This window comes from Homo sapiens, chromosome 10 (genome assembly GCF_000001405.40).
Source record: "Homo sapiens chromosome 10, GRCh38.p14 Primary Assembly".
Classification (NCBI taxonomy): domain Eukaryota; kingdom Metazoa; phylum Chordata; class Mammalia; order Primates; family Hominidae; genus Homo; species Homo sapiens.
In genome coordinates, this window is record NC_000010.11 from 92,292,448 (window position 1) to 92,313,522 (window position 21,075).

Below are 21,075 nucleotides of genomic sequence, written 5' to 3' on the forward strand. Positions count from 1 at the left end.
CAACTCTTTGTACTCAGTAAAATTCCAACTGTAAGGTGTTAAATGAAGGCCCTCCCTTAATTGAGTTTATACCCAGTTAAATGCTTTTGGGCCTGCCACACCCAGAACACAAATGACCCAAGGGTACACATCCTTCCAGAGTGACAGACATTTTTTTGGAGCTTAGAATTTTGAGCCATCTCAGTTAATAGGAATTATGTCACTGATTTTTTTCAGTTGAGATAACTGGTGATTCATCCAGCCCTTGTTTCAGGTCAACATCCTGACAATTGTATTGACTGCTTTATATATATATGTGTGTGATATGTGTGTGGTTTATAAGCTCTTGGAAGCAGAAACTTACTATTGTTTATCTTGAATCCCAGAACAGAGCCTGGTACTCAGTAGGTAATCAGTAAGTATTTGTTGTATGAACTAATGCACAAACTTATTTGTCAGTTTCCCCAGTTGTCTAGGGGGTCTGATAATTTACCAGGTTTTCCTTTCATTGTAAATTGGCAAATTGTGGCAAATTAAAATATGCCCAGAGGAAACCACCTGCCACTGCCAGTTCTATTCTGTTGAGACCCTGTTCTGATGTGGGGTATTTTGTAGTTAATTTTTTTCCTTTGAGGGCCTCCTGCTTTTCATTTTTACATAGTGACTTTTTTTCTTCTTTTTTTGAGACAGGGTCTCTGTTGCCCAGACTGGAATGCAGTGGCAGTGGCAGTGGCATTGGCATGATCTCAACTCACTGCAACCCCCGCCTCCCAGGCTCAGGTGATCCTCCTACCTCAGCCTCCCTAGTAGCTGGGACCACAACACATACCACCATGCCCAGCTAATTTTTTGTATTTTTATAGAGCCAGAGTTTTGCCATGTTGCCTGTGCTGGTCTCAAACTCCTGGGCTCAAGTGATCCTCCCGCCTAGCCTCCCAAAGTGCTGGATTGTCAGGCATGAGCCATCGTGCCCAGCCTAGAAAAGTTCTTATGTCCAAAAGCTGACCTAACTTTTCATATGCTCTTTGGATATTTCCATAAAAGTAAGAAGCCAAAGAGTGAGCCTGGGCACGGTGGCTCACCCTTGTAATCCCAGCACTTTGGGAGGCCAAGGCAGGCAGATCACTAGAGCTCAGGCCTTTGAGACCAGCCTAGCCAACATGGTGAAACCCTGTCTCTACTAAAAAAAAAAAAAAAAATACAAAAATTAGGCAGGCGTAGTGGCGTGGGCCTGTAGTTCCAACTCTCGGGAGGCTGAGGCATGAGAATTGCTTGAACCTGGGAGACGGAGGTTGCAGTGAGCTGAGATCGCACCATTGTACTCCAGCCTGAGTGACAGAGTGGAACTCCATCTCAAAAAAAAAAGCTAGTGAGGCATTTAAAACTTATTAACAGAAATGCGAAGATTCTGGCTGCCATTTACTGAAGTAGGTGACTATGACACTGGCTTACTCTCATCTTTGTACTACTCTCATCTTTGTACTCTTTTGACATACCTTAAGGTAGATTTTTAACATGACTTTCAAAGACCGTTATTGTCTAGATTAGTAGTTGGCAACCTACTTCCATGTTAGAATTACCTGGGGAGCATTTCAGAATATGCATGGATGCTGGACTGTAAGACCAATAAGATCAAAAATTTCTGTAGGGTAGAGCCTGGGCATCTATATTTTAAAGCTTTTTAAATGTTTTAGATATGGCAGAAACCTACTGCCCTAAGTCCTAAGTCAGTGATATCTTTCATGATAAGAGATAGTAGGGTATAGTGAGTAAAGCTTGGGCTCAGAGATAGAAAGTATGAAATTCGAATTTTGCCACTTACTAGCTATGTGACTTTGAACTTAGATTCTGACACTATGTATATTATCATTTATAAAATGAGAACCCTACTTCACAGGGCTACAGCAAATGAAACATACATCTCTATAAAACAGCAAAACACTCTATGTTAGCCAAATAGAAGGCACTTAAGACTAATGTAAACCAGTTTGGCCATTTTTCCCCCATCTACTTTATGTTTACAGCTTTCTTCACCTGGGCTGGCCCTACTGCAAGTTGAACACAAAGATACTCAACATGGTTCACTTGAGGAATACCAACAGGGCCAAGAGACTAAAATATGTCAGCCTATTAGGACCCAGAATTCTTTTCATGAATTTGGCTTCTCCCCAACCTGGTTTTTGGTGGCAATTTTTGAGGGACAGAATTTAGCTCAGATAACTGTTCATTTGTTTATTTCTTTAATGCAGGTTTTATCTTCGTGAAGACTAAGGAACTGTGTGTTACATATTGTTCTGTTGCTTTTAGGTTAAGTTACGTATTTTATTTAGGCCAGGCACAGTAGCTCATGCCTGTAATCCCAGCACTTTGGGAGGCCGAGATGAGAGGATTGCTTGAGCCCAGGAGTTAGACACCAGTGTGGGCAACATGGCAAGACTCAGTCTTTACAAAAATGTTAAAAATTAGGCCAGGCCTGGTGGCACATGCCTGTGGTCCCAAATATTCAGGAAGCTGAGGTGGAAGGATTCCTTGGGGGTCGTGGCTGTAGTGAGCTGTGTTTGTGCCCCTGGGTACTACAGCCCAGGTAACAGAGCAAGACCCTGTCTTAAAAAAAAATGTTATTTTTCAGTAAATCAATTATTAAACATTTACACTTATTGAATTTATTTAACAAATACTGAGTGTCTTCATATGCCCAGTACTATTCTAGGCCCTTGGTATATAGTGGTGAATTGAACATAACAAAAATGCCCTTATGGAGCTTCAATTCCAGGGGTGTTTGTGTTGTCTAAACTGTCAAAGTGAAGACTATTTTAATTGTAATATGAATGGTATGTTCAATTTATACCATTTAATCTTTCAGGGTTTTTAAACTAGAGGCAACTTTTCTTTTTTTTTTTTTTTTTTTTTTTTTGAGGCGAAGTCTCACTCTGTCACTTGGGCCAACTGGTGACAACTTCTTTTATTTATTTATTTATTTATTTTTTATTTTTTTTTTTGAGACAGAGTCTCGCTCAGTCGCCCAGGCTGGAGTGCAGTGGCGCAATCTTGGCTCGCTGCAAACTGTGCCTCTTGGGTTCACGCCATTCTCCTGCCTCAGCCTCCCGAGTGGCTGGGACTACAGGCACCCGCCACTAAGGCCAGCTAATTTTTTTGTATTTTTAGTAGAGACGGGGTTTCACCGTGTTAGCCAGGATGGTCTCGATCTCCTGACGTCGTAATCTGCCGGAATTGACCTCCCACAGTGCTGGGATTACAGGCGTGAGCCACCGTGCCTGGCCTGTGGCAACTTCTTAATAGCTGAAGTTGAATTCCCTTGTCCTTTGCAAATAACTCACTTTAGTTTAGCTATTATTTGTTTATATTGGTAACTTTGATTACTGTAATATTTGTAGGTGGAAAGAATACATATACATACGTATATATATACATACATACATATATATATGGAATTTTTTTTTTTTTCATGGAATTTCGCTCTTGTTGCCCAGGCTGCTGGAGGGCAGTGGCGCGATCTCGGTTCACCACAACCTCCGCCTCTCGGGTTCGCGTGATTCTCCTGCCTTAGCTTCCGGAGTAGCTGGGATTACAGGCATGTGCCACCACGCCTGGCTAATTTTGTATTTTTAGTAGAGACTGGGTATCTCTATGTTGGTCAGGCTGGTCTCGAGCTCCTGACCTCAGGTGATCCACCTACCTCTGCTTCCCAAAGTGCTGGGATTACAGGGGTGAGCCACCACTCCTGACCATATGGATATATATTCTTTGGATTGCCTTTCGTTTTTATAAACTATAAGTGTTTTATGTAAATTTATTATTTGAACCTTTTAAGTTGTTGTGGGGAAACAAGAATGGTGGAAAGGGGGGTGATTTTTCTAGTGTCGTGAATGTTTCAGTGTCACAAATATCATTTCCCTGAAATGATAACCATTCATAAGCCCAAACCCTTTATGTCAGGCCTTTTGAACCTTAGTTAGCTCTTCTGTCTTTCATTGCTTCAATTCTTTAATAAGAAGTTGTTATATATTACTTTCTCTTTGACCACCGACATTCTCATTTTTCTCTAAAACTTCTCAAAGTTAGGAGTGAATTTACAGAGAACAATGCAAAGAATATTATAACAAACTGCAGGAATGGACCTCTGATTTGAAGCCTGGACCTACTGAGAAATGCTTTTGGAAACTACTTCTGCTTCCCCCGTCTTAAAATAAACACGCATTAATTTGTTGAGGTTGTTTTGCATCACTTACTTGCATCTAGTAAATAGGCAAGGAGTGTAGCCAGAATGTCCCCAGAATGGTCAGATGGCAGAAAGAGCAGAGAGAGTGGTCTATTCTTCCAGCCCCCTCCCACAATGGTATAGTGAATTAGAATTCTGCCTCTGTGAGAGTGTTATCCACAGATGTATACCCCTTTGAAGACCAAGGAAGCTATACTCTGATAGGAGCATGCTGTATAAACAATTTCACATTTTCTTTGTCAGTTGACCTCTTTTTCTCAATCACATCACCATGTTGACAATTACAGACCAATGCCCAGAATTAAAAATCATCATCAATTATATTTATTTCCAGATATATGTAAAAAATGGAAACATCATAGATAAAATTAAATCCCCTTTGACCACCATCCCCAATGGCATATCTTCTCATCCCCACTCCACTATCATAAAATGGGTTTATATTCTTCCATCCTTCTTGGTTTAATGCTTTTATATAGAAAAGTATATTAATAGACTACTTTTTTTTTTTTTTTTTTGAGTCAGGGTCTTACTCCATTGCTCAGGCTGGAGTGGAGGGTCACAGTCACGGCTCACTACAGCCTCAACCTCCCAGGCTCAAGTGATCCTCCCACCTCAGCTTCCAGAGTAGCTGGGACTACTGGTGTGCACCACCACACCTAGCTGATTTTTTGTATTTTTTTTGTGGAGATGGAGTTTCACCACGTTGCCCAGGCTGGTCTCAAACTCCTGGGCTCAAGTGATCCGCTCGCCTCGGCCTCCCAAAGCTCCCAAAGTGGGGGACTACAGGTGTGTTCCACCACATCCAGCTTTCAACTTTTTTTTTTTTTTTTTTTTTTTGAGACAGAGTCTCACCCTGCCACCCAAGCTGGAGTGCAATGGCGTGGTCTCGGCTCACTGTTGCAACCTCCACCTCCTGAGTTCAATTGATTCTCCCACCTCAACCTCCCAAGTGGCTGGGACTACAAGCACGTGCCACCACACCCAGCTAATTTTTTGTATTTTTAGTAGAGACAGGGTTTCACTGTGTTGGCCAGACTGGTTCAAACTCCCGACCTCGTGATCCACCTGCCTCGGCCTCCCAAAGTGCTGGGATTTCAGGCATGAGCCGCCACACCTGGCCTTTTTTCTTTTTTAATCCAGTCTCGTTTATGACATTTAGATTCTTATTTTCTCTTTATTATTTTTCCTGATAATTTGACTTTCATTCCCCTTTCTTGTCATTAGCTCTACTGAAAGTGTACTGAAGGGCTGGGTGCAGTGGCTCACACCTGTAATCCCAGCACTTTGGAAGACCGAGGCAGGCCAATCACTTGAGCTCAGGAGTTCAAGACCAGCCTGGCCAACATGGCGAATCCCCATCTCTACAAAAAATACAAACATTAGTAGGGCATAGTGGCACATACCTGTAATCTCAGCTACTCGGGAGGCTGAGGCACAAGAATCGCTTGAACCTGGGAGGCAAAGGTTGCAGTGAGCTGAGATCGTGCCACTGCACGATCTCTCTCTCTATATATGTATATGTATACTAAAGGTCACCAATAATTTCTTAGTAAATATAATGACATTTTCTTCAGGACTTTTTATCCTTCAGAATCACGTTACCTTTTTCTTCCTTCAATTTCTATGTATGGTTCAATTCTCAGCATTTACTATTTTGAGAAAGTACACTTACTCACTCTCTTTCCTGTTTATTCAAACAACTCCCAGATCTGTGTCTTTATTCCTGACCTCTTTTCCTCATTTCCTTTAGCACCTAATTTCTACCTGCCCAGTGGACATTTCCATTTGTGTGTATACAGTATTGCCAATCAATCTAAAACTAAGCTACTTATCTTGACTTCTCAATTTTTGGTCTTTGATATTACCAGTCTTCTTGTCCACCAGCTATAAAACATAAATTTTATTTGTTTGTTTGTTTTTGAGACAGGGTCTGGCTCTGTCGCCCAGGCTGGAGTGCAGTGGCCCATCTCGGCTTACTGCAACCTCCATCCCCCACCCTCCGGCTCAAAATATCCTCCCACCTCACCCTCCTGACTAGCTGGGACTGCATGTCCAGCTAATTTTTGTATTTTTAGTAGAGACGGGCTTTCGCCGTGTTGCCCAGGCTGGTCTCAAACTCCTGAGCTTAAGTGACCCTCCTGCCTCAGCCTCCCATAGTGCTGGGATTACAGGCATGAAGCTAGCCAAAACATAAGTTTTTCTTGTTTTCTTTGTTTTTGTTAAAGAAACAGGGTCTTGCACTCCCAGGCTCAAGCCTCCCAAGTAGCTAGGAGCACAGGGCAAGCCAGCATGCCCAGCTAATTTTTTTTAAACTTTTTTTTTTTTGGTGGGGAGGGGGATAGAGACGGGTCTCACTATGTTGCCCAGGCTGTCTCAAACTCCTGTTCTCCACCAATCCTACCTTGGCCTCCCAAAGTGTTAGGACTACAGGTATGAGCTACCTTGCCCGGCCTATTTACATTTTTTTGCTGCCTTCTTTCCTTCCAGATCCACTTGTTCATCACATATTGTTGATTTTCCTTTTTCTAGCTTCAATTTTTCACTTGGTCCAGTTTGGCCTACAGAGTGGCACTAGAATTAGCGAAGGCACAATTATAATCATGCGATTTCTATACTTAAAAATCTGCCAGTCTCTGTGTCACGTAAAAGGATAAAACGTAAACTTTCAACGGGGTAACGTGCTTTGATCTGTTACTATAATCCAGCCCCAACCTACCTTAACCATCCTTTCCTGCACTCCCCTTCATTGACCCCTGAACATATCCTGCTCTTTCATTTCTTTATTTTTGCTTTAGGTGCCTTCCTCCCTCCTAACACCTGGTGAAGTCTTACCCATATTGAATTCAGCTGAAATACCACAGTGACACCTTGCACAGCTCCCCCAAACAGAGTTAATAACTCCTTTCTGTGTTTCAATAGAACCTTGTTGCATTTATTATAGTGTATCACATTGTACTGTAAATTTTTTAATATACTTGTCCCATGTCTCAGAGCTTCCCACACACACACATATTCATCTGGAAGTTCACTGAGAACAGAAACTGCCTGTATTCCCTATCCTATTTTCCCACAAGGGCCTTAGTGCATAGGAGACCCTCTTTTGTATCATGATGTCTTTCTTTTCATTCTTTGTGACATATCAGTGCTTAGAATAATCATGCAGAAGCACCATTTTTTTAAATTGCCTCATTTGCTCAAAACTTGTATTTTCTTACTGCTTATTGAGATTAAGTTCAGGGCTGGGCACTTTGGGAGGCTGAGGCAGGAGGATCGCCTGATCTCAGGAGTTTGAGACCCACCTGAGCAAAATACTAAGACCCCCGTCTCTACAAAAAATAAAAAAGTAACCAGTGTAGTGGTGCATGCCTATACTCCCAGCTACTCAGGAGGCTGAAGCGGGAGGTTCACTTGAGCCTGGGAGATTGAGGCTGCAGCAAGCCATTATCACATCACTGCACTCCAGCCTGGGTATAACAAAGCAAGACCTTGTCTCAAAAAAAAAAAAGAAAAGAAAAGAAAAAAAGATCTGGCCGGGCTCAGTGGCTCATGCCTGTAATCCCAGCACTTTGGGAGGCCGAGAGGAGCAGATTGCTTGAGCCCAAGAGTTTGAGACCAGCGTGGGCAACATGGAGAAACCCTGTGTCTACTTAAAAAAAAAAAGAAAGAAAGAAAAAATAGCTGGGTGTGGTGGCCCACACCTGTAATTGCAGCTGCTGGGGAGGCTGAGATGGGAGGATCACCTGAGCCCAGGTTATGGAGGTTGCAGTGAGCTGAGATTGCACCATGCCACTGCACTCCAGCCTGGGCCACAGAGCAAGACCCTGTCTCAAAAAAAAAAAAGAGATCATATTCTTTAGCCTGTCCTTCAGGACACTCACCATTATTCACAGACCATTTATTATGCTCCCTATTATGTTTAAGATATGCCGTACATAGCTGGCACCAACTGCCTTTTTAAAGCCTTTCTTCTCTTTATGAATAAGTGTATAAGTACCCAAGTCTTTTGCCCAAGCCAAACTGGCTTGCGCACTTTCTTCCAAACATAAGGTGGTTTTTGTTTTTGGGTTTTGTTTGGCATCTTTTCTTTCAAAGCTCTACCCATTTTTCAAGACCTAGTTAGGTTCTGCCTTGTTTATAATGCTCTTCTGACCATGTCTGCAGAAATATTTTTCTCTTCTTCTCCAGACTCATGTAGCAGTTCATCTTCAGTGCCTCCTAATTCTTTTTTTTTTTTTTTTTTGAGGCAGAGCCTTCACTCTGTTGCCCAAGCTGGAATGCAGTAGTGCAACCTTGGCTCACTGCAGCCTCCGGGTTCAAGCGATTCTCATGCTTCAGCCTCCCAAGTAGCTGGGATTACAGGTGTGTGCCATCATGCTCAGCTAATTTTTTGTATTTTTAGTAGAAACAGGGTTTCACTGTTTTGGCCAGGCTGGCCTTGAACTCCTGGTCTCAAGCAGTCCTCCCCACTCAGCCTCCCAAAGTGCTGGGATTACAGGCATGAGCCACCACGCCTGACCTGCCTCCTAATTCTTTACATGCCGTAGTTCACATAGATGACAATATTTATATGGCCCATTGGAGTAAACTGAAAGGGATTTGCCTCTCTGGAGGAAGCACATTATGGCTGCTTTAAAGTACCTTAGTAAAATGAAACACGTATTTTTTGTACTGCTGTAATTTTCTAAGAAATGGGAAATGTAAATGTGAATTTTTCTCTGAATACACTATACATAGGGCAGCATGGTGCAGTGAAAAAAGCTGATGATTTGGAGTCATGGCCCAGGTTGCATCCATGCCTCTCTGCTTACTGTGTGGCCTTGGCCAGATCACTTAACCTTTCTGGGCTTTTGGTTCTTGTTTAAGATGGGATTAATTGTGCTTTCAGAGTTTATGAACATCAAAGACAAAAGGCACGGCATGAATATACTATACTCAATAAATGATTGCTCAGTATTCGTGGGGAATTGGTTCTGGGACCTCCCAAGGATGCCAAACTCTGTAGATGCTCAAGTCCCTGATATAAAATGGTGTAGTATTTGCATATAACCTATGCACATCCTCCTGTACACTTTACGTTCTCTCTAGATTACATATAATACCTAATACAGGCCGGGTGCAGGGGCTCACGCCTGTAATCCCAGCACTTTGGGAGCCTGAGGCAGGCGGATCATCTGAGGTCAGGAGTTTGAGACCAGCCTGGCCAACATGGTGAAACCCCATCTCTACTAAAAATACAAAAAAATTAGCTGGGCATGGTGGCACACACCTGCAATCCCAGCTACTTGGGAGGCTGAGGCAGGAGGATCGCTTGAACCCGGGAGGCAGAGATTGCGGTGAGCTGAGACCACGCCATTGCACTCCAGCCTGGGTGACAAGCAAGACTCTGTCTCAAAAAAAAAATACCTAATGCAGTGTAAATGCTATGCAAATAGTTGTTATACTGTATTGTTATGAAATAATAACAAGGAAAAGTCCCTCCATGTTCAGTACAGACTCTTTTTTTTCCAAATGTATTTTACCTGAGATTAGTTGAATGAACAGATGCAGAACCCTCAGTTGGAGGGCTGACTGTATTCTCACCTTTTCTTTTTGGTAATGTGTCATGATTGTGGTTATATGTCTTTGATAGATCCAGGTACTTTAACTTCCATTCCACTAGGATGAACGGACATATTAGTCTCCCTAATAGTGTGCTTTCTGTTTCACAATTCTTGGGTGTGACACTTTTAATCCTGAGACAAAATAAGCAACACGTAGTTTTCTTTTTTCTTTTTTTTTCTTTTTTTTTTTTTGAGACGGAGTTTTGCTCTTGTTGCCCAGGCTGGAGTGCAATGGCACGATCTCGGCTCACTGCAACCTCCGCCTCCCGAGTTCAAGCGATTTTCCTGCCTCAGCCTCCTGAGTAGCTGGGATTACAGGCATGCACCACCACACCCGGCTAATTTTGTATTTTTAGTAGAGACGGGGTTTCTCTATGTTGGTCAGGCTGGTGTCCAACTCCTGACCTCAGGTGATCCACCCACCTCGGCCTCCCAAAGTGCTGGGATTATAGGCGTGAGCCACCGTGCCCGGCCTAACATGTAGTCTTTTTCTTTGTCAAATAGAGCCCTCCTTACATTAACCACAGTATGAATCTCCAAACTTGTTCTAAATTGAGGAGTGCTTGTTCTCTTTCCTTAGAGCAGTCATGTAAATACACTATTATGGCACCATATATAATACAACAGCAGCAATTTAAAGCTTATTCCACGCTTGCTTTCTATATTCTCACTCTTCTATTCTGCTACATTCCAATTTTCATCACAGTGATTTCTCAGGCAGGAGTCTGATTTCCCAGAATTTCCTAAGAATCCAAAAGAAACACCTGCAGTTTGAGTCTGCAAAGGCTTTACTACCAGCTGTTTTTTAAGTTACTGTACCTATCTTGCTTAATTTAGTGCCAGTGAGAAACTATCTTTTTGATAAATAAAGCCCCCCTCACTTTTTTCTACATACTTTAAAAATAATTAACCTGTTTGATCAGATAGACTGTAAATTAGTCACAAATGAACCCTGTGAAGTGAGATTGTCTTTGTTATTCATCCTTTCCCAACTGGTTTGTAATATCTAGCTTCATCTTAAAATCTTTCTGCTCCAACCACATTGGTCTATGAATATATGTTCATTTCCATCTCTAAGCTTGCTTACTCTGTTTTTCTTCAAATACCTTTTCTTTCCACTCTAACTTGAATTCTCATCTGTAGTTATTTCCTTTTCTTGAAACCTCAGCTGTTTCATCCTGTTTCTTGGTCTCTCATCACATTTCTGTATTAAGGTTTCTAACAACTTTTCTTGGCACTTAATGCTTGGTATAGTGGTTTTTTTGTGATCCTCGTATGCATGTTTGTTCGTTAACTAGACTGGAAGTTCCTTACATGTAGTTCCTTGTGGCATCAAATAATGAATGTACTTATTAGGTACTCAAGTGGATTTAGGAGGAGATCTTGAATAATGTTAGATTTAGGGCAATTTTGTCATGTATATTCCTTAAACTGTTTATAAATTTTACTGTTTACTCTTTATTAGTTTACTATATAACTGGCAAAAACCATCATAATTTTAAAATCACATGGAATTATATTACCCATACCAGTAAGACTATACATCTGTTCTTAGGAATAAGTAATAGTCCTTAGATTTGTCTAGTTTAGTTCTCTTCTGTTGTCTTCATATAATGACAGTGATTTGTTCTTTGTTCCCTGAACCAATCATGATACTTCCCAGATCTCCTTTTGCTTTGTAAATGAATATGCCCCAACTTGGTGAATAGGATGGTGTAGGAGTAACATCAGCAAGTAGGTGGCATTTAGAAAAGCTACCAGAAGGGTAATAAGGGTGAAAGAAAATGAATTGAAAGGGTTTAAATGAATCTTAAGATCTTAAGTAGTGGCGTGGCCTGTTGAAAAATTGGGGAAATGACTAGGAATCCAGAACATTTTCCACTGAATGCCAGGGTGCCAAGTAGAATTGCTTTATGTGCTAATGGTAAGAAAACTGCATCCATAAATTTTAGGAACTTGAATGGAAAGCTGACACCATCACTGTCATCATTGTCAATGTTGTTATTGCTAGTGGTCATATGGAGGTTATATATGTGCTAGGCAATTTTTAAGCAGTTTCTTAATCACATGTTTAATCTTTTACAATAGGGGACCTTAACATAAAACATTTTTTATGCTAAAACTCCTTTGGTGGTCTGGTTAAGCCTATGGGTTCCTTCTCAGAATGTTTTTGAAAGAATAAAACAAAATATATAGGATTAGAAATGAAACCAATTATATTGAAGTACAGCTATCAAAATATTAAAAGCCTAAAATAGTAATATGAACTTTAACACATTAAAATACAAGATTTATCAGTTGGCCTGATAACATTTAGCTCATTGTAATTTGAAATTAGTTATTTCGGGATCTCTACAGCTGTAAAGTAATATGAAAATTTCTGGTTGCTATACTCATTTCTAATTGCTGTGCTGCTAATATTACTGTGGTTTGCTTGCACTCATTATTGAAGAAAAGCTACATTTTATTTAGAGCTTAGCAAAAATAAACGTGATGGTTTTTCTCCCCTCATTCAGATTTACCGATCCCCACCCCCTAAGTTTTTCATGGACCCCAGATTAAGAACCCCTGCTTTGCAACAACTCTGTGAAAGAGATTCTATCATTAAACCTATGTAGTTAGCAGGGGTTTGAACCCAGACAATCTGGCTCCAAAGTCCAGGTTCTTTAACCAGCTAGAATATCCTGAATTCGCATTATCTTTTTCCCCAAATTAATTTAACCTTGTTTCCTTAGGAAAAAATACCTTAAGCATTTTACTTATTGTTTAAAATTAAAAACCAAATAATTTAAAAATGTTTACAGTGAGCATAAAACAATTTGATTTCTATGTTACGGTGAGTTAAGAATATTTACAGGGCCAGGCACGATGGCTCACACCGGTAATCCCAGCACTTTGGGAGGCCTAAGCAGGCAGATCACAAGGTCAGGAGATGGAGACCATCCTGGCTAACAAGTGAAACCCCGTCTCTTCTGAAAATACAAAAAATTAGCCAGACGTGGTGGCACGTGCCTGTAGTCCCAGCTACTCGGGAGGGTGAGACAGGAGATTTGCTTGAACCTGGAAGGCAGAGGTTGCAGTGAGCTGAGATCGCACCACTGTACTCCAGCCTGGACAACAGAGCGAGACTCCGTCTCCAAAAAAAAAAAGAATATTTACAAAGGAAAAATCAGAAAAAAGGAAGGAAGAATGGCTAGAGCAGAAGTTTTCAAACTTTCGGGATCATGATCACCTGATGGGCTTATTGAAACAAAGTGCTGGGTACCCCCAGAGTTTCTGATTCTGTAGGTCTGGGGCAAGGCCTAAAGATTTGCATTTCTAATGAGTCCCCAGGTGATGCTTATGCATCACACTGAGGACTGAGTTCTGAGAGAGTCAGAGGATTGGAGAAAACAAGAGGAAAAATAGATGTAAGGAGAAACTCTTAGTTTGGTCAGAAATTACAACTTCCTTTTTCCTTGGGTATGGACTTTGAGTGTTTTGGTTTTGACTAATAATTAATTGGCTATTTTCCATTTCAAAAGACAAAACCAAAAACTAGTCCCATCTACTCAGGAGGCGGAGGTGGGAGGATCACTGGAGCCCAGGAGGTCCAGGCTGCAGTGAGCCGTGATTGTGCCACTGCAGTCTCACCTGAGCAACAGAGTGAGACCCTGTCTCAAAAATAATAAAAACTCTTTAGAGTTTACATTCTATGATTGTACTGAGGCCATCTCTTAGTACCCAACACAGTAACAAGATCATTTTGGTTGCACATGATGCAATGCGAATTGGTTAAGTCAAAAACCCAAAAATCTACTGCTTTATGTGAGTTAACAGTACAAGAATATATTTAGCTTTAGGCACAGCACATCTTGATCCATGTCTCAATGCCGTCAGTTTCCACCTTCACTTCTTCTGGATTCTTAAGGCTCCACTTAGTTGGTGGCTCTCCTGTCAGCAATAGCCTCACATTCTCTGCTTCTAAGCCCAGAAGAAGAGAGAAAGTCTGTATACCACTTTTCCCAGCAAAAGTTCTGAGGTTCACTAAGACCAGCTTTATGGACCCAGCCTCCCAATGATGTAGTCTGGAAGATAGGCTACAGCGGCCAATCTGAGTGTTTCTGGGGTTGGTTATGGTATTCACTGCCTAAACCACACACACGGCTAATGTTGGAGGGAAGAGCGATTTTCCATAGAAAGCATGGGATACTATTTACTCCTAGAAGGTAGAAGGACTTGTGTTGTATGTACATTAAACATCAAATTTCTACTGTCCCCTCCATTCCAAGATGTTGAGAAATTATAAATGAATCATTTTCAAATAGCTCTTCTCCATCTTAAAAGGAAGGGGGTAGAGAATTGGGGAATAAATCGTTGAAGTAGATTAATTACATAGAGTGGGAGGGGTAGGGTATGGAGAAGCAAAAAGGGAAAGCATAATTATAAGACCTTCCCAGGTGATGTTCCTGGTCAGTCGGATGGGCAGGCGCAGTGGCTCATGACTGTAATCTCAGCACTTTGGGAGGCCGAGGCAGGTGGATTACTTGAGGTCAGGAGTTTAAGACGAGCCTGGCCAAGGTGGTGAAACCCCATCTCTACTAAAAATACAAAAATGAGCCAGGCGTGGTGGTGGATGCCTGTAGTCCCAGTTACTAGGGAGGCTGAGGCAGGAGAATCACTTGAACCCAGGAGGCAGAGGTTGCAGTGAGTCAAGATTGCACCACTGCACTCCAGCCTAGGTGGCAGAGTGAGACTCAGTCTCAAAAAAGGGCAGGGGAGGGGGCAGGAAGCTAGACTATATGCCTGCAGTCCTAGGTAATCAGGACACTGAGGCAGGAGGATCACCTGAGCCCAGGATTTCAGTTGGAGTCTAGCCTGGACAACAGAGCCAGACCCATCTCATAAAATAAGGAAAGAAAACATCTGTGTGTGTGTGTGTGTGTGTGTGTGTGTGTGTGTGTGCGCGTGCATGCACGCACGTGCCCTCCCCTCCTTTTTTTTAGCCCTTAAGACTAGTCACACTCTTATATGCTGATATCGGCCTAAAGACATTTGTGTGACCATTTTTACATGCTTTAATTTCCCCTTTGCCCAGTCCTCATTTCATAGACTGCTATTCTTTCCATACTAGGTAGATTAAATTTAAACAACTAGTAAGATAGCAAATCAGTTAATAAATTCTTTAGAACTTAACATATTTGGCCAGGCACAGTGGCTCACGCCCAAAACTTTGGGAATCCAAGGCAGGAGAATTGCTTGAGCCCAGGAGTTTGAGACTGGTCTAGGCAACATAAGGAGATCCTGTCTCTAAAAAAAAAATTTTTTTTTAATTAGCTGTGTGTGGCCAGGCGCAGTGGGTCATGCCTGTAATCCCAGCATTTGGGAGCCTGAGGTGGGCAGATCACTTGAGGTAAGGAGTTCAAGACCAGCCTAGCCAGCATGGTGAAACCCTATCTCTACTAAAAATACAAAAACTAGCTGGGCATGGTGGCGGGCACCCTGTAATCCTACTACTTGGGAGGCGGAGGCATGAGAATCGCTTGAACCGGGAGGCGGAGGTTGCAGTGAGCCGAGACCACCACTGCACTCCAGCCTGGGCAACAGAGCAAGACTTTGGGCTGCTGGTTGCCCATTTTTATGGTTATTTCTTGATGATATGCTAAACAAGGAGAGGATTATTTATGCTTCCCCCCTTTTTTTTTTTTTTGAGATGGAGTCTCACTCTGTCACCCAGGCTGGAGTGCAGTGGCACGATCTCAGCTTACTGCAAGCTCTGCCTCCTGGGTTCACACCATTCTCCTGCCTCAGCCTCCCGAGTAGCTGGGACTACAGGCACCTGCCACCACGCCTGGCTAATTTTTTTGTATTTTTAGTAGAGACGGAGTTTCACCATATTAGCCAGGATGGTCTCGATCTCCTGACCTCATAATCCGCCCTCCTCAGCCTCCCAAAGTGCTGGGATTATAGGCATGAGCCACCGCGCCCAGCCTATGCTTCCCCTTTCTAGATCATATAGGGTAACTTCGTGACGTTGCCGTGGCATTTGTAAACTGTCATGGTGCTGGTGGGAGTGTAGCAGTGAGGACGACCAGGGGTCACTCGTGAGCATCTTGGTTATGGTGGGTTTTAGCTGGCTTTACTGCAACCTGTTTTATCAGCAGTATCTTTATGACCTGTATTTTGTGCTGACCTCATATATCATCTTGTGACTTAGAATGCCTTAACCATCTGGGAATGCAGCCCAGTAGGTTTCAGCCTCATTTTACCCAGCTCCTATTCAATCAAGACGGAGTTGCTCTGGTTCACATGCCTCTAATACTGCTATTTCAACTGAAAGCCTAACTCCTGATAAGTACGCACTCTGAATCATCATTCAGCTATCTTATTTACCATAGTTGTGAAATTAATTAGAAAAAAAACTGAAAGTGCATAAGTGCGTGCGTTGTTTGTTTTTTGTTTTTTTTTTTTTTTGAGACGGAGTCTTGCTCTGTTGCCCAGGCTGGAGTGCAGTGGCGCGATCTTGGCTCACTGCAAGCTCCGCCTCCCGGGTTCACGCCATTCTCCTGTCTCAGCCTCCTGAGTAGCTGGGACTGCAGACACCCGCCACCATGCCCAACTAATTTTTTTGTATTTTTAGTAGAGACAGGGTTTCACCGTGTTAGCCAGGATGGTCTCAATCTCCTGACCTTGTGATCCGCCCGCTTCAGCCTCCCAAAGTGCTGGGATTACAGGCTTAAGCCACGGCACCCGGCCAAGTGCATGCTTTAAATGTCAGTTCTAAAAAGTAAATCTGTACAAGTATTTAGGACTGAAATATACTGATGCCTGCAACTTTGAAATGCAGCAAAAAATAAGAATAATGAATGGATGTGTGAGAAAGCAAATATAGCAGAATAAGAATTATAGAATCTAAATGTTGGGTATATGGGTAGTCACTGAACAGTTTTTAACTTTTTTTGGAAAGTTTGAAATTTTTCATAATAAAATGTTTGGGAAAAATAAACCTTATCTAGAATTTATAAGGAATATAATAGCTACACAAGTATTCTCATTAGATCAAAATATGAAATTTGACCTATCTTTTCTGTAAGTCAGAAACAGATTAATGTAGACTATTTCAGTTGGTTCAACCTAGTCCTAACATTGTATTTTATTTTTCTGATGACTGAAATTGGATTAATTTAAAATGTGATTCACCATAATACTGATTAATTATGCTGATGTAGCTATTCTTATTTACGTTTGTGTTAAGAAAGTATGAGACTAAAGAGTCTCTAAATATTCTGCCAGTATTTTGTTGCTAAAATGATACATTCCATTTCCTAGATGTATACAAATATGTCCACAAAATTACCTCAGTTGTGGGGAAAAATATATACTAACAACATCTTAACCAGCCTGTGTGCTAGTATACTTACCAATTGAAATTTTATGCAAAAATCATAGGTTAGAACCCAGTCCTACTATGGGTAGTCTTGGTGGTTGCACAACAGTATGAATATACTTACTGCCACTGAATTATACACCTAAAAAATGGCTAAAATGGTAGATTTTATGCTATGTCTATTTGACGATAAAATTTTTTAAAAAAGAACAAAGTATTTTTGGACAACCATAAGACAATGTGAAGGCCCAGACAGCTTAGCTAAAGTGGGTCAAAAGGGTCAGAATGCTAAACAAATGCTACCTACGTTCTAATTTTACTTAGATCTTATGAAACCTGACTGAATTTGAAAGCTGAATAAAACAACTATTTTGGATATTGATGCCCTGGATTCAGTTCAACTTTTTTTCTGTTCTAATTGAAAAATTGTAATTGGAGCACACAATTGAAATTCATGTTGTTCCACAAGGACTGGAGAACCTCACCCATCTATAATACCTGAGTATATAGTCTTTCCCACTGAGCATAGTTAAGCTAGTTGTTCTGACAGAAGCCACTTATCCAATTAATTAAAAAGTGCACAGTAGGTAACATGCTTTAATTAGCAGTTGTTTCCACTTGTACAAGTTCTAATGGAGGGGAGGAGCGAAGGGTCTCATTGAATTGAACTGTATTTGCCCTGATGGAAATCGATGTCAAAACTTGTGTTAATTGGGAGAAAAACTGAGGAATTACAACCTAATTCCACAAGAAAAAATTACAATTCATGAAGTACCCTTAAAAGCAAAGTGGGAAAATGTTTTAAAATTACCGATCTCAATAGAATTTTATTTTTATTAATATAAGCACCCCAGACTTGATACTTCTAGATTTCAGATTTCAAGCATACACGCCCAAATTTATCATATTGCTATTCTAAAAAAAAAAATCTTGATATATTTATCTCCTTTGTGCTTTTTTGAAAATGTAATATTGTTTTCTCTCATGTTTATACTTTACCGGAAAGAAAAATGGGTTTTTTTTTCCTCAGCTGAAAAATGGAATGAGACTGTATGTGAAATCACTCGTGTAATACTTTGTTTTTCCAAGTTCAAGGGATTGGTGGTGGTGAACTGGGGAGAACACTGAATTTAATATATTACTGTGCTTACTATTCCTCAAAGAATTATTAGGTCTTATAACAAAAACAACTTGAGGTTTGTCTCCTTGCACTCTGGTTCATTAGAGAAGGTGAAGAATTACTGAAAAGATAGAGGAGATTACATAAAAACAAAGTTCAGAAAACATAAGTTCTGTAGAGGAAGACAAGGAAAAACAGAAAAAGTAGAAACTGCTCTAGTGGGAATGTATTGGTTGTTTTGTCTCCTTAGTCTTTTAATATAGGACAGAGATTCTGTAATATAACATAGCAGGCTCATCCCATTAAGTAAGAGCTGCAGTATAGAGGAGGCTGGAGTCCTAAAGATATAAATGTCATCCTTTTCTCTTTTAATTTACAGAAGTTGCTGGGTTTGTTTTGCTACTGATGAAGATGATAGAACAGCTGAATGGGTGAGACCATGCAGGTGCAGAGGATCTACAAAATGGGTTCACCAGGCCTGTCTACAACGCTGGGTGGATGAAAAGCAAAGAGGAAACAGTACAGCCAGAGTGGCATGTCCTCAGTGCAATGCTGAATACCTAATAGTTTTTCCAAAATTGGGTAAGAATATCTTTAAAAACAACACAGATATAGTTGATGTTATTATATATAACTTTATAAGTTCATTTTAAAATGAACCACCTCTTTTTTTTAGGGTGTGAATTTCTATATTCCCTTTCTCTTGTTTCCTCTCTGAATGTCAGACATTTATTTCTTTTGCTAACAGTTTACAGTATCCTTAATATATCCCCAAATTTATCCATTTGCCTGTGTATTAACTGTCTGTTTGATAGAAAGGAGAAAGAACTTGCATACCTGTGTGGATATAATTGAATAACAAAGCTCTAATAAAAAGCTGACTTTTAAAAAAAAAACTAACTTAGCTTAATTATCTGGAGACGGTGTAAGAGAAAGAAAGCAGTAGTATGTTCTAATACTTCTCCTTAATTCTTCCTTTTAAGGAATAAAAGTAGAGAAATTAAATATTTAATAAGATGTGACGTTAAACTCATCTTTGGAATCCAATTTATGTGGTTTCTTTCATGAACCCTGCTATCCCTTTTCTGTGAAGTGGCAGGTAAGAAATAACCAAAGATCTTTGAGAACAGGCCTAGCATGGAAAAAAAGTATAGCAGACTGCTTACAAGAAGCATTCTAAGGCTGCTTCTTTAGCAGCAGTATAACTAAGGCTGATATTTAGTGAGCCTGTTCCATTACAGCCATACAGTTATAAATTGGTGTCAATCTCTTGGTTTGGTGTTTATACCATGCCAGTTGTTAAACATTTTTTTATAACCCTTGACTGTAACCAAGAGGTATAGGAAGGCAGCTTGGGTTCTGGGAAGGTCATAAGGAAAGAATGTCTTTGGGGGCAGAGGGAATTCAGGAAAAATTGGAAATAATTATTATATATATTGTTTTTTATAAGTGCTATTCATACTGAAATCAGACCAATGTTTTTGAAAATGTGGCAACATAAATGCAGATAATGAAGTGCTTTTCTAATATGAGAAGATTAATAATAAGGGCAAACAAAATGTCCTTGGTTCTCTGTTTTTCTCTAACATGCACAGGAAGAAATGATAGCTTCCTTTGAAGGGGAAGTAGTGTAGTAGAGAAAGTAGTGTTTTCAAACATTTGGAATTTGTGGACCATGTGATGGGTCTTCAGTGCATACCACTGATTTTAGATAAACACAAAAGAATAATTCAAAATGTTTTTATTGTAAGATCAAAGAAGTATTTTTAAATCAGTATCAGGAAAAGCAATGATTGTTCACATTATTGTACCACCACATGAATGGTGAAAGACTCACTAAAGTCCAAGTTAAGGTTTCATATTTAACTGATTTCTTTTCTTGCTCTTAGTTGTACTAAATTAGATAGCCCCACCTTTGAATTATAGAGTTGGGAAGAGCAACAATTAAATATTTCTATTAGATGTTTTAGATATTCAAATGGACACAAAAATTATTACAAGAATTCTCACTGAAAACTACATCAAGTTGACAAGTGTATGGCACTCGAAAGCAAAGTTGAGTATTTTAATTTTGGAGATGGCAATGTGTAGATCTGTCCTTTTGGTTGAATTCAGTTCTAGGAAATATGTTTTCAGGTTTAGTGCAGTAATTGAATATGGTTTTAAGTCTACCTAGTTGTTAGAAAAGAGTAAATCTTGGCTGGGCGTGGCGGCTCACGCCTGTAATCCCAGCACTTTGGGAGGCAGAGGCGGGCAGATCACGAGGTCAGGAGTTCGAGACCAACCCGGCCAATATGGTGAAACTATGTCTTTACTAAAAATACAAAAGTTAGCTGGACATGGTGGCGTGTGCCTGTAGTCCCAGCTACTCAGGAGGCTGAGGCAGAAGAGTTGCTTGAACCCAGGAGGCAAAGGTTGCAGTGAGCCAAGATCGTGCCACTGCACACAAGCCTGGGCGACAGAGCCGAGACTCCATCTCAAAGAAAAAAGAAAAGAGTAAAACTCTTTGGTTAAGCCATTTGTATCATTATTTAGTCTGCATATTTTGTTACTAAGAATTGTGGCCGGGCCGGGCGCGGTGGCTCACACCTGTAATCCCAGCACTTTGGGAGGCCAAGGCTGGCAGATCACGAGGTCAGGAGATCGAGACCATCCTGGCTAACACAGTGAAACCCCATCTCTACTAAAAATACAAAAAAATTAGCCAGCCTTGGTGGCAGGTGCCTCTAGTTCCAGCTACTCGGGAGGCTGAGGCAGGAGAATGGCG

At 40.8% G+C, this 21,075-nt stretch overlaps 1 protein-coding gene across 2 annotated transcripts in view, besides 3 other annotated features; it reads left to right on the forward strand.

Moving 5' to 3' along the window:
* Positions 1–21,075, forward strand: part of MARCHF5 (membrane associated ring-CH-type finger 5) — a 62,798-nt gene that overhangs the window by 1,281 nt on the left and 40,442 nt on the right. The window contains exon 2 of one of the 2 annotated variants that reach the window (NM_017824.5): positions 18,688–18,890. In NM_017824.5, coding sequence (NP_060294.1) covers positions 18,688–18,890 — 203 coding nt within the window. Of the gene's footprint in view, positions 1–18,687; positions 18,891–21,075 lie in introns of those variants that run through there. The other variant, XM_047425382.1, reaches the window with a different exon arrangement.
* Positions 13,695–14,406: an enhancer, noted in NCBI's record as "H3K27ac-H3K4me1 hESC enhancer chr10:94065899-94066610 (GRCh37/hg19 assembly coordinates)". NCBI's record gives its function as "activates a minimal SCP1, AML or CMV promoter by ChIP-STARR-seq in primed H9 embryonic stem cells {active_cell/tissue: H9 hESC(primed)}" and the evidence as "EXISTENCE:reporter gene assay evidence [ECO:0000049][PMID:30033119]".
* Positions 14,407–15,118: an enhancer, noted in NCBI's record as "H3K27ac-H3K4me1 hESC enhancer chr10:94066611-94067322 (GRCh37/hg19 assembly coordinates)". NCBI's record gives its function as "activates a minimal SCP1, AML or CMV promoter by ChIP-STARR-seq in primed H9 embryonic stem cells {active_cell/tissue: H9 hESC(primed)}" and the evidence as "EXISTENCE:reporter gene assay evidence [ECO:0000049][PMID:30033119]".
* Positions 20,565–21,066: an enhancer, noted in NCBI's record as "H3K27ac hESC enhancer chr10:94072769-94073270 (GRCh37/hg19 assembly coordinates)". NCBI's record gives its function as "activates a minimal SCP1, AML or CMV promoter by ChIP-STARR-seq in naive H9 embryonic stem cells {active_cell/tissue: H9 hESC(naive)}" and the evidence as "EXISTENCE:reporter gene assay evidence [ECO:0000049][PMID:30033119]".